At 36.2% G+C, this 21,668-nt stretch overlaps 1 protein-coding gene across 50 annotated transcripts in view; it reads right to left on the bottom strand.

The window, feature by feature from the left end:
- Positions 1 to 21,668, bottom strand: part of ANKRD36 (ankyrin repeat domain 36) — a 151,369-nt gene that overhangs the window by 64,751 nt on the left and 64,950 nt on the right. For 29 of the 50 annotated variants that reach the window (XR_007074204.1, XM_017004009.2, NM_001354587.1 and 26 more), the window contains 22 exons: positions 20,005 to 20,033; positions 19,838 to 19,910; positions 18,145 to 18,173; positions 17,978 to 18,050; positions 16,284 to 16,312; positions 16,117 to 16,189; positions 14,427 to 14,455; positions 14,261 to 14,333; positions 12,545 to 12,573; positions 12,370 to 12,442; positions 10,656 to 10,684; positions 10,481 to 10,553; positions 8,765 to 8,793; positions 8,590 to 8,662; positions 6,885 to 6,913; positions 6,718 to 6,790; positions 5,017 to 5,045; positions 4,854 to 4,926; positions 3,150 to 3,178; positions 2,983 to 3,055; positions 1,280 to 1,308; positions 1,113 to 1,185 (listed from right to left, as the gene is read on the bottom strand). Coding sequence is in view for 49 of the 50 variants with exons in the window: in XM_017004009.2 (XP_016859498.1) it covers positions 1,113 to 1,185; positions 1,280 to 1,308; positions 2,983 to 3,055; positions 3,150 to 3,178; positions 4,854 to 4,926; positions 5,017 to 5,045; positions 6,718 to 6,790; positions 6,885 to 6,913; positions 8,590 to 8,662; positions 8,765 to 8,793; positions 10,481 to 10,553; positions 10,656 to 10,684; positions 12,370 to 12,442; positions 12,545 to 12,573; positions 14,261 to 14,333; positions 14,427 to 14,455; positions 16,117 to 16,189; positions 16,284 to 16,312; positions 17,978 to 18,050; positions 18,145 to 18,173; positions 19,838 to 19,910; positions 20,005 to 20,033 (1,122 nt within the window). In the remaining variant the exon portion in view is untranslated. The remainder of the gene's footprint in view (positions 1 to 1,112; positions 1,186 to 1,279; positions 1,309 to 2,982; positions 3,056 to 3,149; positions 3,179 to 4,853; positions 4,927 to 5,016; positions 5,046 to 6,717; positions 6,791 to 6,884; positions 6,914 to 8,589; positions 8,663 to 8,764; positions 8,794 to 10,480; positions 10,554 to 10,655; positions 10,685 to 12,369; positions 12,443 to 12,544; positions 12,574 to 14,260; positions 14,334 to 14,426; positions 14,456 to 16,116; positions 16,190 to 16,283; positions 16,313 to 17,977; positions 18,051 to 18,144; positions 18,174 to 19,837; positions 19,911 to 20,004; positions 20,034 to 21,668) is intronic. The other 21 variants (XM_017004013.2, XM_047444240.1, XM_047444236.1 and 18 more) reach the window with 16 other exon arrangements.

Genomic DNA, 21,668 nt, shown 5'->3' with positions numbered 1-21,668 from the left:
TATTCATTATCTCTCACACCCATGTAGTGTAATAATTTGCCTGAGTTTCTTGTATCCACTAGTTTACCCTTCCGAAAGTTTCTTCATCCACTCTTGGCACCGAAGGATAATATATTAGCCTCAATAAAAATATCATCAATTATCAACTTTGACATACTTCTACAAGGTAAAATGGCTACAAGCATTAGATATTACTCAGTTTTTCATTCAGAAATCACTGCAATATTCATTGAAAATGACCATTTTAGGAGTTAATTGGAATTCAACATCATTCTTGTGTCTAAAATAGTCTTGTTGGGAGTATCGTGTTATTCTCTAAAGAAGTGTCATTAAATAGCTATTTTATCCAACAGGTAGCTCCTTGAACAAGGAAGCAAAATTTATTCACATTCAAGATTATCTGATTTTTATAACTAAAATCAACAAAACATGTATCTCTGAGGCCTCCTAGTAACAAGAAGAGTAAGGGGTCAGTGTGGTGTATTCCAATTATACCATTGTTTCCTGCTTCCAGTAGTTCCTGGAGTAGCCAAAATCAAATATTTCTTATGGAAATATTCCCAATGCATCTGAAGTGAGTTCACTCAGGTTTCCTCAGCAGAAACTCCAAAATTATATAAATGACTTCCTCTTTTCACACCTTCCTGTCTCACAATCCATCTTCCTTAGGAAAATAGTTGCTACACCAGGGGTCTCCTTAGTTCTCCTACAGTGTCTACGGGTTGTTACAACAAGCTTTCTGTCTTTTCTTGGCAGTGCGAGCTGAAGTGTGTAAATTCTATACTTCCTCTCTTTCTCCTTCCACCCTTACTGAAAACAAGCTGGAGAATTAAAGCAAAATTATGTTGTTCCCCGGAGCCCCTTATGCCTTGAACTGCTCTCCATATTTCTTCTTCCCAATTTCAATGTGGGGAAGTGTATAATCTTACTGCGAAGATCATGTTCCAGACCAGCAGCATCAGCATCACCCAAGAACTTATTTGAAATGAAGAATCTCAGGACTGCTGAATCAGAATGTGCAGCTTCAACGAGCCCCCCGCTGATTTATTCAGGGAAGAGAACTTCTTATCTATCTGCACTGAACATGACATTAAATCTCTTTTCAAAATTACCTCTCTTAGTTTTTTCTCCATCCTTTTTTCCTCTGGCTATATTCAAAACAGAATCTTTCTCGGCACTTGAAGCCTGAATGGAATTTGAAATGAAATAATAAATTAATAAAGTATGTTTCATAGACTATGCATTTACTAGGTCACAATATAAATGACAGTTTCATTACCTTCAAGCCTGGTGGTTTCTCAGAAGACACTGAAAAGTAAAAGGGATTCATAATCACTCATATGTAAAAACGACAAAATTATCCATACATTCATACAGTGTTAGCATCAACCTCTGTCCTCCTGCCTGTATTAGTGTACGCTTTGATGGCTTCTACTTTGTGTCTGGGGACTAGAACGTGACAGAAATACGCTGAGAAAAGGGAATACAGGCTCCATGAAATATAGTCTTAGAATTTCAAACATGGTATGATTTGTCATATGCCAAAAACTAAAATAAAACCGTGTCACTATCAACGTGGATATGCCGAGTGATGAGGACAAAGTGATCTAAAATCAGAGGGGCAACTCATGCACCTGAGAATCAATGTCAAAGCAGGTGCTACATGTACCCACATGTCTTTCATGCAACAAATCAAAAGGATTTACACCATTATACTACAAACATTCATCATCCTCTTTAACTTGCCCAATAACTGAGAAGGCACACAATTACGATGACAATTCAGTTGAAGTACACTTCACATCCCTTCAGTGGAAGGGTCCTAAATTGATCACCTTGGATATATGTTTGCAGATATCTAGTAGATAATACTCATTATCTCTCACCCCGATATGGAGTAATAATCTGCCTAAGTTTTTTGTATCCACTACTTTAGCCTTCCGAAATTTTCTTCATCCAGTCTTGGCACCAAAGGATAGTATCTTAGCCTCAATAAAAATATCATCAATTATCAATTTTGACATACCTATACAAAGTAAAACAGCTACAAGCATTAGATATTGATCAGTTTTTCATTCAGAAATCACAGCAATACTCATTGAAAATGACCAGTTTAGGAGTTAATTACAATGCAGCATAATTTTTCTTTCTAAAATAGGCTTGTTGGGAGTATCATGTCATTCGCTAAAGAAGTTTCATGAAATAGCTGTTGTATCCAAGAGGTAGCTCCTTGAACAAGGAAACTAATGTATTCAGATTTAAGCTTGTCTCATTTCTATAACTAAAATCAACAAAACATATATCTCTGATGTCTAACAGTAACAAAGGAGAGTAATGAGTCAGTGTGTTTTTATGCCAATCCCAGAATGGTTTCCTTCTTCCAGCAGTTCCTGCAGCAGCCAAAATCAAGTATTTTTTATTAAAATATTCCAAATGCATCTGAAGTGAGTTCACTCAGGTTTCCTCAGCAGAAACCCCAAAATTATACAAATGACTTCCTCTTTTCACACCTTCCTGCCTCACAATCCGTCTTCTTTGGCAAAATGATTGCTACAACAGGGGTCTCCTTAGTTCTCCTACAGTGTGTACGGGTTATTACAACAAGTTTTCTGTCTGTTTTTAGCAGTATGATGTGAGGTCTGTAAAATCGATACTTCCTCTCTTTCTCCTTCCACCCTTACTGAAAACAAGCTGGAGAATTAAAGCAAAACTATGCTGTTCCCCAGAGACCCTTATGTCTTCAACTGCTCTCCATATATCTTCTTCCCAACTTCAAAGTGTGGAAGTGTATAATCTTACGGCGAAGATCATGTTCCAGACCAGCAGCATCAGCATCACCCAAGAACCTACTGCAAATGAAGAATCTCCGGCCTGCTGAATCAGAAAGTGCAGCTTCGATGAGCCCCCCGCTGATTTATTTGGGGAAGAGAACTTCTTATCTATCTGGACTGAACATGACATTAAATCTGTTTTCAGAATTACCTGTCCTAGATTTTTCTCCATCCTTGTTTTCTCTGGCTATACCCAAAACAGAATCTTCCTCGTCACTTGTACCCTGAATGGAATTTGAAACGAAATAATAAATAAATAAAGTATGTTTCATAGACCATACATTAACTCGTTCACATGATAAATGGGAGTTTCATTACCTTCAAGGTTGGTGGTTTCTGAGAAGACACTGAAAAGCAAAAGGGATTCATAATCAGTCATACATAAATATGACAAAGATATCCATACATTCAAGCAGAGTTAGCATCAACCTCTGTCCTCCTGCCTGTATTAGCATAGGCTTTGATGGCTTCTACTTTGTGTCTGGGGACTAGAACATGACAGAAATACACTAAGAAAAGGGAATACAGGCTCCATGAAATATACCCTTATAATTTCAAACATGGCATGATTTCTCATGTGTCGAAAACTAAAATAAAACCGTATCAATATCAATGTCTTAGGCCGAGTGATGAGAACAAATGTGATCTAAAATCAGAGGAGCAACTCACACTCCTGAGAATCAATGTCAAAGCAGGTGCTACATGATCTCACATGTCTTTCACGCAACAAATCAAAAGGATTTACACCTTTATACTACAAACATTCATCATGCTCTTTAACATGCCCAATAACTGAGAAGGCACACAATTGCGATGATGCTTCAGTTGAACTTACACTTCACATCTCTTCAGTGGAAGTGTCCTACATTGATCACCTTGGATACCTCTTTGCTGATACCTAGTACATAATATTCATTATCTCTCACACCCATGTAGTGTAATAATTTGCTTAAGTTTCTTGTATCCACTAGTTTAGCCTTCCAAATGTTTCTTCATCCACTCATGGCACCAAAGGATAATATATTAGCCTCAATAAAAATGTCATCAATTATCAATTTTGACATATTTCTACAAAGTAAAACTGCCACAACCATTAGATAATAATAAGTTTTACATTCAGAAATCATTCCAATATTCATTGAAAATGATCACTCTAGGACTTAATTGGAATGCAACATAATTTTTGTTTCTAGAATACCCTTGTTGGCAGTATCATGTTATTTTCTAAAGAAGTTTCATTAAACAGCTATTTTATCCAAGAGGTAGCTCCTTGAACAAGGAAGCCACCATATTCATATTCAAGTTTATCTCATTTCTATAACTAAAATCAACAAAATATGTATCTCTGATGCCTAATAGTAACAAAGAGGAGTAATGAGTCATTTTGTTTTTATGCCAATTCAACCACTGTTTCCTGCTTCCAGCAGTTGCTGGAGCTGCCAAAATCAAATATTGTTTATGCAAATGTTCCAAATGCATCTGAAGTGAGTTCACTCAGGTTTCCTCAGCAGTAACCCCAAAATTATATAAATGACTTCCTCTTTTCCCACATTCCTGCCTCACAATCCGTCTTCATTCAGAAAATAATTGCTACATCAGGGGTCTCCTCAGTTCTCCTTCTACAGTGTCTATGGGTTATTATGAACAGTTTTCTGTCTGTTTTTAGCACTACGATGTGACGTCTGTAAAATCTGTACTTCCTCTCCTTCTCCGTACACCCTTAATGAAAAGATGCTACCGAATTAAAGCAGAATTATGCTGGGCCCCAGAGCCCCTTATGTCTTCAACTGCTCTCCATATTTCTTCCTCCCAATTGTAATGTGGGGATGCGTATAATCTTACAGTGAAGATCATGTTCCAGACCAGTAGCATCAGCATAACCCAAGAACTTATTAGAAATGAAGAATCTCAGGCCTGCTGAATCAGAATGTGCATCTTTGACCAGCCCCCCACTGATTTATTCGGGGAAGAGAACTTCTTGTCTGGACTGAACATGACATTAAATGTGTTTCGCAAAATTACCTTTCCTAGATATTTCTCCATCCTTTTTTCCTCTGGTTATATTCGAAAAAGAATCCTTCTCATCACTTGTAGCCTGAGTGGAATTTGAAACAAAATAATAAATAAGGTATGTTTCATAGGCTATACGTTTACTAGCTCACAATATGAATGAGAGTTTCATTACCTTCAAGGCTGGTTTTTTCCGAGAAGACACTGAAAAGCAAAAGGGATACATAATCACTCACATGTAAATATGATAAAGTTATCCATACATTCACACAGTGTTAGCATCAACCTCTGTCCTCCTGCCTGTATTAGTGTACGCTTTGATGGCTTCTACTTTCTGTCTGGGGACCAGAACATGTCAGAAATACCCTGAAAAAAGGGAACACAGGCTCCGTGAAATATACCCTTACAATTTCAAACACAGTATGATTTTTTATGTGTCGAAAGCTAAAATAAAACCGTGTCAATCCCAATGTGGATATGCCGAGTGATGAGGACAAATGTGATCTAAAATCAGAGGAGCAACTCACACACCTGAGAATCAATGTCAAAACAGGTGCTACATGATCCCATATGTCTTTCATGCAACAAATCAAAAGGATTTACACCATTATACTACAAACATTTTTCATGCTCTTTAACTTGCCCAATAAATGAGAAGGCACACAATTACGATGACCCTCCAGTTGAACGTACACTTCACATCTCTTCAGTGGAAGTGTCCTGAATTGATCACCTTGGATATCTGTTTGCTGATACCTAGTAGATAATATTCATTATCCCTCACACCCATGTAGTGTAATCATTTGCCTAATTTTCTTGTATCCACTAGTTTAGGCTTCTGAAAGTTTCTTCATCCAATCTTGCCACCAAAGGATAATATATTAGCCTCAATAAAAATATCATCAATTATCATTTGACATACTTCTACAAAGTAAAATGGCTACAAGCATTAGATATTACTCAGTTTTTCATTCAGAAATCACTGCAATATTCATTGAAAATGACTATTTTAGGCGTTAATTGGAATTCAACATCATTCTTGTGTCTAAAATAGTCTTGTTGGGAGTATCGTGTTATTCTCTAAAGAAGTTTCATTAAATAGCTTTTTTATCCAAGAGGTAGCTCCTTGAACAAGGAAGCAAAATTTATTCACATTCAAGATTATCTGATTTTTATAACTAAAATCAACAAAACATGTATCTCTGATGCCTAATAGTAACAGAGGAGTAATGGGTCAGTGTGGTGTATTCCAATTATACCATTGTTTCCTGCTTCCAGTAGTTCCTGGAGTAGCCAAAAGCAAATATTTTTTATGAAAATATTCCAAGTGCATCTGAAGTGAGTTCACTCAGGTTTCCTCAGCAGAAACCCCAAAATTATATAAATGACTTCTTCTTTTCACACCTTCCTGCCTCACAATCCGTCTTCCTTAGGAAAATAGTTGCTACACCAGGGGTCTCCTTAGTTCTCCTACAGTGTCTACGGGTTGTTACAACAAGCTTTCTGTCTTTTCTTGGCAGTGCGAGCTGAAGTGTGTAAATTCTATACTTCCTCTCTTTCTCCTTCCACCCTTACTGAAAACAAGCTGGAGAATTAAAGTAAAATTATGTTGTTCCCCGGAGCCCCTTATGCCTTGAACTGCTCTCCATATTTCTTCTTCCCAATTTCAATGTGGGGAAGTGTATAATCTTACTGCGAAGATCATGTTCCAGACCAGCAGCATCAGCATCACCCAAGAACTTATTTGAAATGAAGAATCTCAGGACTGCTGAATCAGAATGTGCAGCTTCAACGAGCCCCCCGCTGATTTATTCAGGGAAGAGAACTTCTTATCTATCTGCACTGAACATGACATTAAATCTCTTTTCAAAATTACCTGTCCTAGATTTTTCTCCATCCTTGTTTTCTCTGGCTATACTCAAAACAGAACCTTCCTCGTCACTTGTAGCCTGAATGGAATTTCAAATGAAATAATAAATTAATAAAGTATGTTTCATAGACCATACCTTAACTCATTCACAATATAAATGAGTGTTTCATTACCGTCAAGGCTGGTGGTTTCTGAGAAGACACTGAAAAGCAAAAGGGATACATAATCACTCATATGTAACTATGACAAAGTTATCCATACATTCATGAAGTGTTTGTATCAACCTCTGTTCTCCTGCCTGTATTAGCGTAGGCTTTGATGGCTTCTACTTTTAGTCTGGGGACTAGAACGTGACAGAAATACACTGAAAAAAGGGAATACAGGCTCCATGAAATATACCCCTACAATTTCAAACATGGTATAATTTGTCATATGTCAAAAACTAAAATCAAACTGTGTCAATATCAATGTCCATATGCCAAGTGATGCGGACAAATGTGATCTAAAATCAGAGGAGAAACTCATACACCTGAGAATGAATGTCAAAGCAGGTGCTACATGATCCCACATGTCTTTCATGCAACAAATCAAAAGGATTTACACCATTATACTACAAACGTTCATCATGCTCTTTAACTTGCCCAATAACTGAGAAAGCACACAATTATGATGACACTTCAGTTGAACGTACACTTCACATCTCTTCAGGGGTAGTGTCCTAAATTGATCACCTTGGATATCCATTTGCTGATACCTAGTAGATAATATTCATTATCTCTCACACCCATGTGGTGTAATAATTTGCTTAAGTTTCTTGTATCCACTAGTTTAGCCTTCCTAAAGTTTCTTCATCCACTCATGGCACCACAGGATAATATATTAGCCACAATAAAAAATCATCAATTATCAATTTTGACATATTCTACAGAGTAAAACTGCTACTAGCATTAGATATTATTAAGTTTTACATTCAGAAATCATTCCAATATCCATTGAAAATGATCACTCTAGGACTTAATTAGAATCCAACATAATTTTTATTTCTAAAATAGCCTTGTTGGGAGTATCATGTTATTCTCTAAAGAAGTTTCATTAAATAGCTATTTTATCCAAGAGGTAGCTCCTTGAACAAGGAAGCCAATATATTCATATTCAAGTTGGTCTCATTTCTATAACTAAAATCAACAAAACATGTATCTCTGATGCCTAATGCTAACAAACAGGAGTAATGAGGCAGTGTGTTTTTATGGCAATTCTAGCATTGTTTCCCACTTCCAGTATTTCCTTGTGCTGCCAAAATCAAATATGTTTTATGAAAATATTCCAAATGCATCTGAAGTGAGTTCACTCAGGTTTCCTCAGGAAAAACCCCAAAATTATATAAATGACTTCCTCTTTTCCCACCTTCCTGCCTCACAATCCGTCTTCCTTGGGAAAATAATTGCTACAGGAGGGGTCTCCGTAGGTCTCCTTCTACAGTGTCTATGGGTTATTACAATCAGTTTTCTGTCTGTTTTTAGCAGTACGATGTGACGTTTGTAAAATCTATACTTCCTCTCTTTCTCCTTCCACCCTTACTGAAAACGCTGTAGAGTTAAAGCAAAATTATGCTGTTCCCCAGAGCCCCTTATGTCTTCAACTGCTCTCCATATTTCTTCTTCCAAATTTGAATGTGGGGAAGTGTATAATCTTACTGCGAAGATCATGTTCCAGACCAGCAGCATCACCATCACCCAAGAACTTACTGCAAATGAAGAATCTCAGGACAGCTGAATGATAATGTGCAGCTTCGACGAGCCCCAGGCCAATTCATTCAGGAAAGAGAAATTCTTATCTATCTGGACTGAATATGACATTAAATGTCTTTTGCAAAATTACCTGTCCCAGATTTTTCTCCATCCTTTATTTCTGTGGCTATGTTCGAAACAGAATCTTTCTCATCAGTTGTAGCCTGAATGGAATTTGAAAGAAAGTAATAAATAAATAAATCAATGAAGTATATTTCATAGACTATAGATTTACTAGTTCACAATATAAATGAGAGTTTAATTACCTTCAAGGCTGGTTGTTTCTGAGAAGACACTGAAAAGCAAAAAGGGATACATAATCACTCATATATAAACATGATAAAGTTATCCATACATTCACACAGTGTTAGCATCCAGCTGTATCCTTCTGCCTGTACTAGTGTAGGCTCTGATGTCTTCTACTTTGTCTCTTGGGACTGGAACATGACAGAAATACACTGGTAAAAGGGAATACAGGCTCCATGAAATATATCCTTACAGTTTCAAACATGGTATGATTCGTCATATGTCGAAAACTAAAATAAAACCGTGTCAATATCAATGTGGATATGCCGAGTGATGAGGACAAAGTGATCTAAAATCAGAGGAGCAACTCATACACGTGAGAATCAATGTCAAAGCAGGTGCTACATGATCCCACATGTCTTTCATGCAGGAAATCAAAAGGATTTATACCATTGTACTACAAACATTCATCATGCTCTTTAACTTGCCCAATAACTGAGAAGGCACACAATTACCATGACAATTCACTTGAAAGTACACTTCGCATCTCTTCAGTGGAAGTGTCCTAAATTGATCACCTTGGATATCTGTTTGCTGATACCTAGTAGATAATATTCATTATCTCTCACACCCATGTGTTGTAATAATTTGCCTAAGTTTCTTGTATCCACTAGTTTATCCCTCCGAAAGTTTCTTCATCCAGTCGTGGCACCAAAGGATAATATATCAGCCTCAATAAAAATATCATCAATTATCAATTTTGACATACTTCTACAAAGTAAAACTGCTACAAGCATTAGATATTAATCAGTTTTTCATTCAGAAATCACTGCAATATTCATTGAAAATTACCATTTTAGGAGTTAATTAGAATTCAACATAATTTTTGTTTCTAAAATAGCCTTCTTGGGAGTATCATGTTGTTCTCTATAGAAGTTTCATGAAATAGCTATTTTATCCAAGAGGTAGCTCCTTGAACAAGGAAGCCAATGTATTCATATTCAACTTTATCTCATTTTTATAAGTAAAGTCAACAAAACATGTATCTCTGATGCCTAATAGTAACAAAAAGGAGTAATGAGTCAGTGTGCTTTATCCCAATTCTAGCATTGTTTCCTGCTTCCAGTAATTCCTGGAGCTGCCAAAATCAAATATTTTTTAGGCACATATTCCAAATGCATGTGAAGTGAGTTCACTCAGATTTCCTCAGCAGAAACCCCTAAATTATATAAATAACTTCTTTTCCCTCCTTCCTGTCTGACAATCCATCTTCCTTGGGAAAATAATTGCTACATCAGGGGTCTCCTTAGTTCTCGTTCTACAGTGTCTATGGGTTATTACTATCAGTTCTCTGTCTTTTCTTAGCAGTACTATGTGACGTCTGTAGAATCTATACTTCCTCTCTTTCTTCTTCCACCCTTAGTGAAACCATGCTGTAGAATTAAAGCAAAACTATGCTGTTCCCCAGAGCCCCTTATGTCTTGAACCTCTCTCCATGTATCTTCTTCCCAATTTCAATGTGGGGAAGTGTATAATCTTACTGCGAAGATCACGTTCCAAGCCAGCAGCATTAGCGTCACCCAGGAATTTATTACAAATGAAGACTCTCAGGCCTGCTGAATCAGAATGTGCAGATTAGGCGAGCCCCCCACCCACCCTCCGCTGATTTATTCGGGGTAGAGAAGTTCTTTTCTATCTGGATTGAACATGACATTGAATGTGTTTTGCAAAATTACCTGTCCCAGATTTTTCTCCATCCTTTATTTCTGTGGCTATATTCGAAACAGAATCTTCCTCGTCAGTTGTAGCCTTAATGGAATTTGAAAGAAAATAATAAATAAATAAATCAATGAAGTATGTTTCATAGACTATAGAATTACTAGTTCACAATGTAAACGAGAGTTTAATTACCTTCAAGGCTGGTTGCTTCTGAGAAGACACTGAAAAGCAAAAGGGATACATAATCACTCATATGTAAATATGATAAAGTTATCCATACATTCACACAGTGTTAGCATCCAGCTGTATCCTTCTGCCTGTACTAGTGTAGGCTCTGATGTCTTCTACTTTGTCTCTTGGGACTGGAACATGACAGAAATACACTGGTAAAAGGGAATACAGGCTCCATGAAATATATCCTTACAATTTCAAACATGGTATGATTCGTCATATGTCGAAAACTAAAATAAAACCGTGTCAATATCAATGTGGATATGCCGAGTGATGAGGACAAAGTGATCTAAAATCAGAGGAGCAACTCATACATGTGAGAATCAATGTCAAAGCAGGTGCTACATGATCCCACATGTCTTTCATGCAGGAAATCAAAAGGATTTACACCATTGTACTACAAACATTCATCATGCTCTTTAACTTGCCCAATAACTGAGAAGGCACACAGTTACCACGACAATTCAGTTGAACGTATACTTCACATCTCTTCAGTGGAAGTGTCCTAAATTGATCACCTTGGATATCTGTTTGCTGATACCTAGTAGATAATATTCATTATCTCTCACCCCCATGTGGTGTAATAATTTGCCTAAGTATCTTGTATCCACTAGTTTAGCCTTCCGAAAATTTCTTCATCCAGTCGTGGCACCAAAGCATAATATATCAGCCTCAATAAAAATATCATCAATTATCAATTTTGACATACTTCTACAAAGTAAAACTGCTACAAGCATTAGATATTAATCAGTTTTTCATTCAGAAATCACTGCAATATTCATTGAAAATTACCATTTTAGGAGTTAATTAGAATTCAACATAATTTTTGTTCTAAAATAGCATTCTTGGGAGTATCATGTTAGTCTCTAAAGAAGTTTCATGAAATAGCTATTTTATCCAAGAGGTAGCTCCTTGAACAAGGAAGCCAATGTATTCATATTCAACTTTATCTCATTTTTATAAGTAAAGTCAACAAAACATGTATCTCTGATGCCTAATAGTAACAAAAAGGAGTAATGAGTCAGTGTGCTTTATCCCAATTCTAGCATTGTTTCCTGCTTCCAGTAATTCCTGGAGCTGCCAAAATCAAATATTTTTTAGGCACATATTCCAAATGCGTGTGAAGTGAGTTCACTCAGATTTCCTCAGCAGAAACCCCTAAATTATATAAATAACTTCTTTTCCCTCCTTCCTGTCTGACAATCCATCTTCCTTGGGAAAATAATTGCTACATCAGGGGTCTCCTTAGTTCTCGTTCTACAGTGTCTATGGGTTATTACTATCAGTTTTCTGTCTTTTCTTAGCAGTACTATGTGACGTCTGTAGAATCTATACTTCTTCTCTTTCTCCTTTCACCTTAGTGAAACCATGCTGTAGAATTAAAGCAAAACTATGCTGTTCCCCAGAGCCCCTTATGTCTTGAACCTCTCTCCATATATCTTCTTCCCAATTTCAATGTGGGGAAGTGTATAATCTTACTGCGAAGATCATGTTCCAAGCCAGCAGCATTAGCGTCACCCAAGAATTTATTACAAATGAAGACTCTCAGACCTGCTGGATCAGAATGTGCAGCTTCGGCGAGCCCCCCCACCCGCCCTCCGCTGATTTATTAGGGGTAGAGAAGTTCTTTTCTATCTGGATTGAACATGACATTGAATGTGTTTTGCAAAATTACCTGTCCCAGATTTTTCTCCATCCTTTATTTCTGTGGCTATATTCGAAACAGAGTCTTCCTCGTCAGTTGTAGCCTGAATGGAATTTGAAAGAAAATAATAAATAAATAAATCAATGAAGTATATTTCATAGACTATAGATTTACTAGTTCACAATATAAATGAGAGTTTAATTACCTTCAAGGCTGGTTGTTTCTGAGAAGACACTGAAAAGCAAAAGGGATACATAATCACTCATATGTAAATATGATACATTTTCCATACATTCATGCGGTGTTAGCATCAAGCTGTATCCGCCTGCCTGTATTAGTGTAGGCTTTGATGTTTTCTACTTTATGTCTTAAGCCAGGAGCATGACACAAATATACTAAAGAAAACAGAAATAGATGTGCCACGATATATTCCTAACTATTTCAAACATAATATGATTTCTCGTATATCTAAAAGAAAAATAAATCAGTGTCAATATCAAAAAGGGTATGCCAAGTGATCACGACAAATGTGATCAAAAATCAGAGGGGAAACTCAATCACCTGGGAAAATGTCAAAGCAGGTGGCACATGCACCCACATGTCTTTTATGCAAGATATCCAAATGATTTACGCCATTATACTGCAAACATTCATCATGTTCATTAACTTGCCCAGTAACTGAGAAGGTACACAATTACAGTGACACTTCAGTTGAATGTACACATTATGTCTCTGTCTCTTCAGTGAAGTGTCCTAAATTGATCAGCTTGGATATATGTTTCCTTAATCCGAGTAAATAATATTCATTATTTCTCATATCCATGTGGTGCAACAATTTGCCTAAGTTTCCTGTATTCTCTAGTTTAGCCTTCCTGGACATTTCTTCATCCACTCATGGCCACAAAGTATAATATATAAACCTCAATAAAAAGCATCATCAATTATCAATTTTGACATACTTCTACTAAATAAAACTGCTAAAAGCATTGGATATTAATAAGCTTTTATATTTGGAAATCACTCCAATATTCATTGAAAATGACCATTTTAAGAGTCAGTTGATGAACTCAACATTATATTTGTTTTTAAAATTGTCTTGTTAGGAGGATCATACTATTCTCTAAATAATATTCATTAAATAGCTATTTTATCCGTGAGATAGCTCTTTGATGAAAGAAGCCAATGTACTGATATTCAAGTTTATCTAATTTTTATAACAAAAATCAACAAAAGATATATGTCTTATGCCTAATAGTAGCAAACAGAAGTAATTAGTCAATGTGGTTTATCCCAATTCTAGCTTTCTTTGCTTCATCCAGTAGTTCCTGGAGCTGCCAAAATCAAATCTTTTTTGTGTAAATATGCTAAATGCATCCGAAGTGAGTTCACTCAGGTTTCCTCAGCAGAAACCCCAAAATTGCATAAATAACTTCATCTTTTCCCTCCTTCCTGCCTCACAACCCTCTTCCTTGAGGAAAATAATTGCTACATCAGTGGTCTCGTTAGTTCTCATTCTACAATTTTTACTGGTTATTACGATCACTTTTCCATCTGTTTTTAGCAATAAGATGTGACGTCTGTAAAATCTATACTTCAACTCATTCTCCTTCCACCCTTGGTGAAAACATGCTGTAGAATTAAAGCAAAATTATGCTGTCCCCTGAACCCCTTATGTCTTGATCTGCTCTCCAATGTTTCTTCTTCCCAATTTCAATGTGGGGAAGTCTATAATCTTACTGCGAAGATCAGGTCCAAGACCAGCAGCATCAGCATCACCCGAGAACTTATTACAAATGAAGAATCTCGGGCCTGCTGAATCAGAATGTGCAGCTTTGACGAGCCCCCCGCTGATTTATTCAGGGAAGAGAAGTTCTTTTCTATCTGGACTGAACATGACATTAAATGTGTTTTGCAAAATTACCTGTCCCACACTGTAGTCCATCCTTTATTTCTGTAGCTATATTCAAAGCAGAATCTGTCTTGTCACTTGTAGCCTGAAAGTAATTTGAAGCAAATTATCAATAAAGAAAGTATGTTTCATGGACTATACAGTTACTAATACAAAATATAAATGAGAGTTTAATTACCTTTGAGGCTGGTTGTTTCTGAGAAGACACTGAAAAGCAAAAGGGATACATAATCACTCATATGTAAATATGATAAAGTTATCTATACATTCATGAAGTGTTAGCATCAAGCTGTATGCTCCTGCCTGTATTAGTATAGGCTTTGATTTTTGTGTCTGGGGACTGGAACATGACCAGAAATACACTGAAAAAAAAGAAATACAGGTTTCACAAAATAAACCCTTACAATGTCAATCATGGTATGATTTTTCATATGTCTAAAACTAAAATGAAACAGTGTTACTATCAATGTGAATATGCTGAATGATGAGGACAAAAGTGATCTAAAATCAGAGGAGCAACTCATACACCTGAGAATCAATGTCAAAGCAGGTGCTACATCATCCTCCATGTCTTTCATGCAAGGTATCAAAAGGATTTACACTACTATACTACAAACATTCATCATGCTCTAACTTGCCTGATAACTGAGAAGGTACACAATTACAATGACACTTCAGATGAATGTACACTTCACGTCTCTTAAGTGGAAGGGATCTAAATTGATCAGCTTGGATATATGGTTGGTGAATCCTAGTAGATAGTATTCATTATTTATCATACACATGTGGTGGAATAATCTGCCTACATTTCTTGTATCCTCTAGTTTAGCCTTCAGTAATTTTCTTCATCCACTAATGGCAGGAAGGTATAATATATAAACCTCATCAAAAAGTACAATAAATTACACATATTTATACAAAATGCAATGGCTCCTGGCATTAGATATTAATAAGCTTTTACATTTGGATATCAGTCCAATATTCACTGAAAATAACCATTTTAGGATTCAATTAATACATTTAGTATTATTTTTGTCTGCAAAATTAGTCTACTCTGGAATATCATTGTATTATAAAGAATTTTCACTAAATAGCTATTTTAATGAAAAAGCCAGCACTTTGGAAAAAAGCTAATATAATCGTATTAAATTTTAACTCATTTGAATAACTAAAAAAAAATATATGTCTGATGCCTGATACTAATAAACAGGAATGAGGCACTGTGGTTTATCCCAACTCTAGCACTCCTTCCTGATTCCAGTAGTCATCGGAGCAGTCAGAAATCAAATCTTCTGGTATGCAAACATTCTAAATGCATCTGAAGTGAGTTCACTCAGGTTTCCTCAGCAGAAACCCCAAAATTACATAAATAACTTCTTCCTTCCCCTCTTTCTTGCCTTGCAATCCCTCTTTCTTGATGAAAATAATTACTACATCAGTGGTCACTTTGTTTCTCATTCTCCAGTGTCTACGGGTTATTATGACAACTTCCTCCCTCTGGTTTTAGCAGTACCATCTGACATCTATAATTTCTGTTACTTCTTCTCTTTCTCCTTCCCCTCTCCATAGAAACATGCTCTGAAATAAGAGAAAAATTATGCTGTCCTCCGATCCTCTTATGTCTTGAACTGTTTTCCAATGGTTCTTCTATCCAAATTCAATGTAGGGAACTCTACAAGCTTGTTACTAAGATCATGGCCAAGGACCAGCAGCATCAGCACCACCTGACAACTTACTAGAAATGCATAATCTCAGGCCTGCTGAATCAGAAAGTGCATTTTCAATGACACCCCACTGATCTATTCAGGGGTGGGACGTTCTCTTCTGTCTTGAGTGCACATGACATTAAATGTGTATTGCCAAATTACCTGTTCCAGATTTCCCACCACCCATTATTCTTGTGGCAATATTCAAAAGAGAAACTTTCTTTTTAAATATAACCTGAATGGAAAGAGAAACAAAATAGTCAATATATAATACATATTTCATAGGCTATAAAATAAATAATTCAAAATATAAATGAAAGAGTAACTACCTTCCAGGCCGATTGTTTCTGAGGAGACACTGAAAAGTAAAAGAAATATATAATCCATCATATGTAAATATGACAAAGTCATCCATACATTCATGCAGTGTTAGCATCAAGCTGTATCCTCCTGCCTGCACTAGTGTAGGATTTGATGTTTTACAGTTTGTGTCTTTGGGACGGGAACATGAGGAAATACACTGAAGAAAACAGGAATACACGCTTCCAGAAAATATACAGTCAGAAATTACAAAGAGGTATTATGCATCATGTGTGTATTACTGAAATAAAAAGTGTCAATATCAATGTGGATATGCCGAATGATGAAAAGAAATGTGATCTAAAATCAGAGGAGCAACTCATACACCCAGGAATCAATGTCAAAGAAGGTACTAAATGCTACTGCATGTTTTTCATGCAAGACATCAGAAGGATTTATACCATTATACTGCAAGTATTCATCACGCTCTTTTAACTTGCCTGGTAATTGAGGAGGTACACAATGACAATGACACTTTAGTAGAATGTACACTTCACGAGTCCTCGGTGGAAGTGGCCCAGCCTCAACAGCTTGGATATAGGTTGGGATAATCCTGAATATAATATTCTTTATTTCTCAAACCCATGTGGTGTAATAATGTGCCTACATTTGTTGTGTCCTCTAGTTTAGGCTACAGAAAGGTTCTTCATCCACTCATGGCAACAAATATAATACATAAACCTTATCAAAAAGTATAATAAATGATCAAATTTGACATACTTATACAAAATAAAGTTGCTACAAGCATTAGATATGAATAACCTTTGACATTTGGAAATCCCTCCAATATTCATTGAAAATAAGAATTTTAAAAGTCAATTAATGAATTCACCATTAATTTTTTTTTCTAAAATAGTCTGGTATAAAATATCATGTTATTCTCTAAAGCATTTTCATTAAATTGTTATTTTTATCCAAAAGTTAGCTAATTGAAAAGCAAAGCCAATATATGCATATTCATGTTTATCTCATTTGAATAACTAATATCAACAAAACGTATATCTCTGATGCCCAACAGTAACAAAGAGGAGTAATGAGTCACTGTGGTTTATCCCAGTTCTAGTACTCCTTCCTGCTTCCACTGTTTCCTAAAGCAGCCAAAATCAAAGCTTCTTTTACAAAAATGTTCAAATATGCAACTGAACTCAGGTTTCCTCAGAAGAAACCCCAAAATTACATAAATAACTTATTTTCCCTCCTTCCTGCCTGACAATCCTCTTCCTTGAGGAAAGTCATTGCTACATCAGTGGTCTCCTTAGCTCTCGTTCTACAGTGTTTATGGGTTATTACCATGATTTCCCCATCTGTTTTTAGCAATACGATGTGATGTCTGTAAAATCTATACTTCATCTCTTTCTCCTTCCTCCCTTGGTGAAAACATGCTGTAGAATTAATGCAAAATTATGCTGTCCCCTGACTCCTTATGTCTTTAATGGCTCTCCAACGTTTCTTCTTCCCAATTTCAATGTGGGGAAGTCTATAATCTTATTGCAAAGATCATGTCGAAGACCAGCAGCATCAGTGTCACCTGAGAACTGAAGAATCTCAGGCCTGCTGAATCAGAATGTGCAGCTTCAATGAATCCCCTGCTGATTTATTCGGGGAAGAGAAGTACTTTTCTATCTTGACTGAACATGACATTAAATGTGTTTTGCAAAATTACCTGTCCCAGATTGTTGTCCCTTCTTTATTTCTGTGGCTATATTTGAAACAGAATCTTTCTCGTCACTTGTAGCCTGAATGGGATTTGAAACAAAATAATCAATATGTAAAGTAGGTTTCATAGACTATACAGTTAATAGTTCAACATATAAATGAGACTTTAATTACCTTCTCAGCTGGTTGTTTCTGAGAAGACACTGAAAAGCAAAAGGGAAACATAATCACTCACATGTACATATGATAAATTTATCCATACATTCATGCAGTGTTAGCATCAAGCTGTATCTTCCTGCCTGTACTAGTGTAGGCTTTGATGTTTTCTACTTTTTGTCTGGAGACTGGAACATGACAGAAATACACTGAAAAAAAAGGAATACAGGCTTCACAAAATATACCCTTACAATTTCAAACATGGTATGATTCGTGATACATCTAAAACTAAAATAAAACCGTGTCAATATCAATGTGGATATGCCGAGTGATGAGGACAAATCAGAGGAGTAACTCACACACCTGAGAATCAATGTCAAAGCAGGTGGTATATGATCCCTCATGTCTTTCTTGCAAGAAATCAGAAGGATTTACACCATTATACTTCAAACATTCATCATGCCCTTTAACTTGCCCAATAACTAGGAGGTACACAATTACGATGACAATTCAGTTAAATGTTCTCTTCACATCTCTTCAGTGGAAGTGTCCTAAATTGATCACCTTGGATATGTTTCCTAAAATCTAGTAGATAATATTCATTATTTCTCACACCCATGTGGTGTAATAATTTGCCTAAGATTCTTGTATCCACTAGTTTAGCCTTCTGAAAGTTTCTTCATCCGCTCATGGCAACAAACGATAATATATTAGCCTCAATAAAAATATCAATTACCAATGTTAACATACTTCTACAAAGTAAAACTGCTACAAGCATTAGATATTAATAAGTTTTACATTCAGAAATCACTCCAATATTCATTGAAAATCACCACTTTAGGAGTTAATTAGAATTCAACATCATTTTTGTTTCTAAAATAGCCTTGTTGGGAGTATCATGTTAGTCTCTAAGGAAGTTTCATTAAATACCTATTTTATCCAAGAGTTAGCTCCTTGAACAAGGAAGCCAATGTATTCATATGCAAGTTTATCTCATTTTTATAAGTAAAGTCAACAAAACATGTGTCCCTGATGCCTAATAGTAGCAAAGAGGAGTAATGAGTCACTGTGGTTTATCCCGATTCTAGCACTGTTTCCTGCTTCCAGTAGTTCTTGGAGCAGCCAAAATCAAATCTTCTTTTATGCAAATATTCCAAATGCATCTGAAATGAGTTCACTCAGGTTTCCTCAGCAGAAACCCCAAAATTACATAAATACCTTCTTTTTCCTCCTTCCTGCCTCACAATCCCTCTTCCTTGAGGAAAATAATTGCTACATCAGTGGTCTTCTTAGCTCTCGTTCTACAGTGTTTATGGAGTTATTAGGATCACTTTTCCCTCTGTTGATAACAATATGATACGATGCCTATAATATCTATTACTTCATCTCGTTCTCTTTTCCCTCTTGATGGAAACATGCTGTAAAATTAAAGCAAAATTATGCTGCTCCCTTAGCCTGGTATGTGTTGAACTTCTCTCCAATGGTTTTTCTTCCCAATTTCAATGTAGGGAAGTCTACAATCTTACTACTCAGATCATGACCAAGGACCAGCAGCATCAGGGTCACCTGAGAACTCACTACAAATGAAGAATCTCAGGTGTACTGAATCAGAACGTGCAGCTTAGATGGACTCCCCACTGATTTATTTGGGTAAGGGAAGTTCTCTTCCATCTTGATTGAACATGACATTAGATGTGTTTTGCAAAATTACCTGTCCCAGATATTGGTCCCTCCTTTATTTCTGTGGCTATATTTGAAACAGAATCTTTGTCGTCACTTGTAGCCTGAATGGGATTTGAAGCAAAATAATCAATATGTAAAGTAGGTTTCATAGACTATACAGTTAATAGTTCAACATATAAATGAGACTTTAATTACCTTCTCAGCTGGTTGTTTCTGAGAAGACACTGAAAAGCAAAAGGGATACATAATCAATCATATGTAAATATGATAATGTTATCCATACATAAATGCATGGATAGCATGTTAGCATCAAGTTTTGTACTCCTGCCTGTATTACTGTAGGCTTTGATATTTTATACTTTGTTTCTTGGGACTAAACATGAAGGAAATACACTGAAGAAAATAGGAATACAGGCTTCAAGAAATATACACTGACAATTTCATATGTGATATGACTTTCTCCATATGTCTAAAACTAAAATAAAACCATGTCAATATCAATGTGGATATGCTGAGTGATGAGGACAAATGTGATCTAAAATCAGAGTCCAACTCATACTCCTGGGAATCAACGTCAAAGCAGGTGATACACGCATCCGCATGTCTTTCATGCAAGATATCAGAATGATTTGGAACATTTTACTGCAAACATTCATCATGCTCTTTAACTTGATTGATCAGTGAGAAGGTACACAATTATAATGACACTTTAGTTGAAATCTCTTCAGTGGAAGTGTCCTAACTTAATCAGCTTGGATATATGTTTGGTGAATTCTAGTATGTAATATTCATTATTTCTCACACCCATATGATGTAATAATGTGCCTACATCTCTTGTATCTTCTAGTTTAGACTTCTAAAAGTTCCTTCATCCACTCATTGCAACAAGGTATAATATATAAACTTCATCAAAAAGTGTAATAAATTACCAAATTTGACATACTTATACAAAATAAAGTTTCTACAAGCATTAGATATGAATAAGCTTTTACATCTGGAAATCACTCCAATATTCCCTGAAAATAACCATTTGGGAGTCAAGTAATGAATTCAACATTATTTTCACTTCTAAAATAGTCTGGTTAAAGTATCATGTTATTCTCTAGAGAATTTTTATTAAGTTGCTTTTTTTTATTATACTTTAAGTTTTAGGGTACATGCGCACATTGTGCAGGTTAGTTACATATGTATACATGTGCCATGCTGGTGCGCTGCACCCACTATCTCATCATCTAGCATTAGGTATATCTCCCAATGCTATCCCTCTCCCCTCCCCCCACCCCACAAAAGTCCCCAGAGTGTGATATTCCCCTTCCTGTGTCCATGTGATCTCATTGTTCAATTCCCACCTATGAGTGAGAATATGCGGTGTTTGGTTTTTTGTTTTTGCGATAGTTTACTGAGAATGATGATTTCCAATTTCATCCATGTCCCTTCAAAGGACATGAACTCATCATTTTTTATGGCTGCATAGTATTCCATGGTGTATATGTGCCACATTTTCTTAATCCAGTCTATCATTGTTGGACATTTGGGTTGGTTCCAAGTCTTTGCTATTGTGAATAATGCCGTAATAAGCATGCGTGTGCATGTGTCTTTATAGCAGCGTGATTTATAGTCCTTTGGGTATATACCCATTAATGGGATGGCTGGGTCAAATGGTATTTCCACTTCTAGATCACTGAGGAATCTCCACACTGACTTCCACAATGGTTGAACTAGTTTACAGTCCCACCAACAGTGTAAAAGTGTTCCTATTTCTCCACATCCTCTCCAGCACCTGTTGTTTCCTGACTTTTTAATGATGGCCATTCTAACTGGTGTGAGATGGTATCTCATTGTGGTTTTGATTTGCATTT

Source organism: Homo sapiens, chromosome 2 (assembly GCF_000001405.40).
Source record: "Homo sapiens chromosome 2, GRCh38.p14 Primary Assembly".
NCBI lineage: Eukaryota > Metazoa > Chordata > Mammalia > Primates > Hominidae > Homo > Homo sapiens.
The sequence above is the reverse complement of the archived record's forward strand: the minus strand, read 5'-3'. Positions and strand labels throughout refer to the sequence as shown.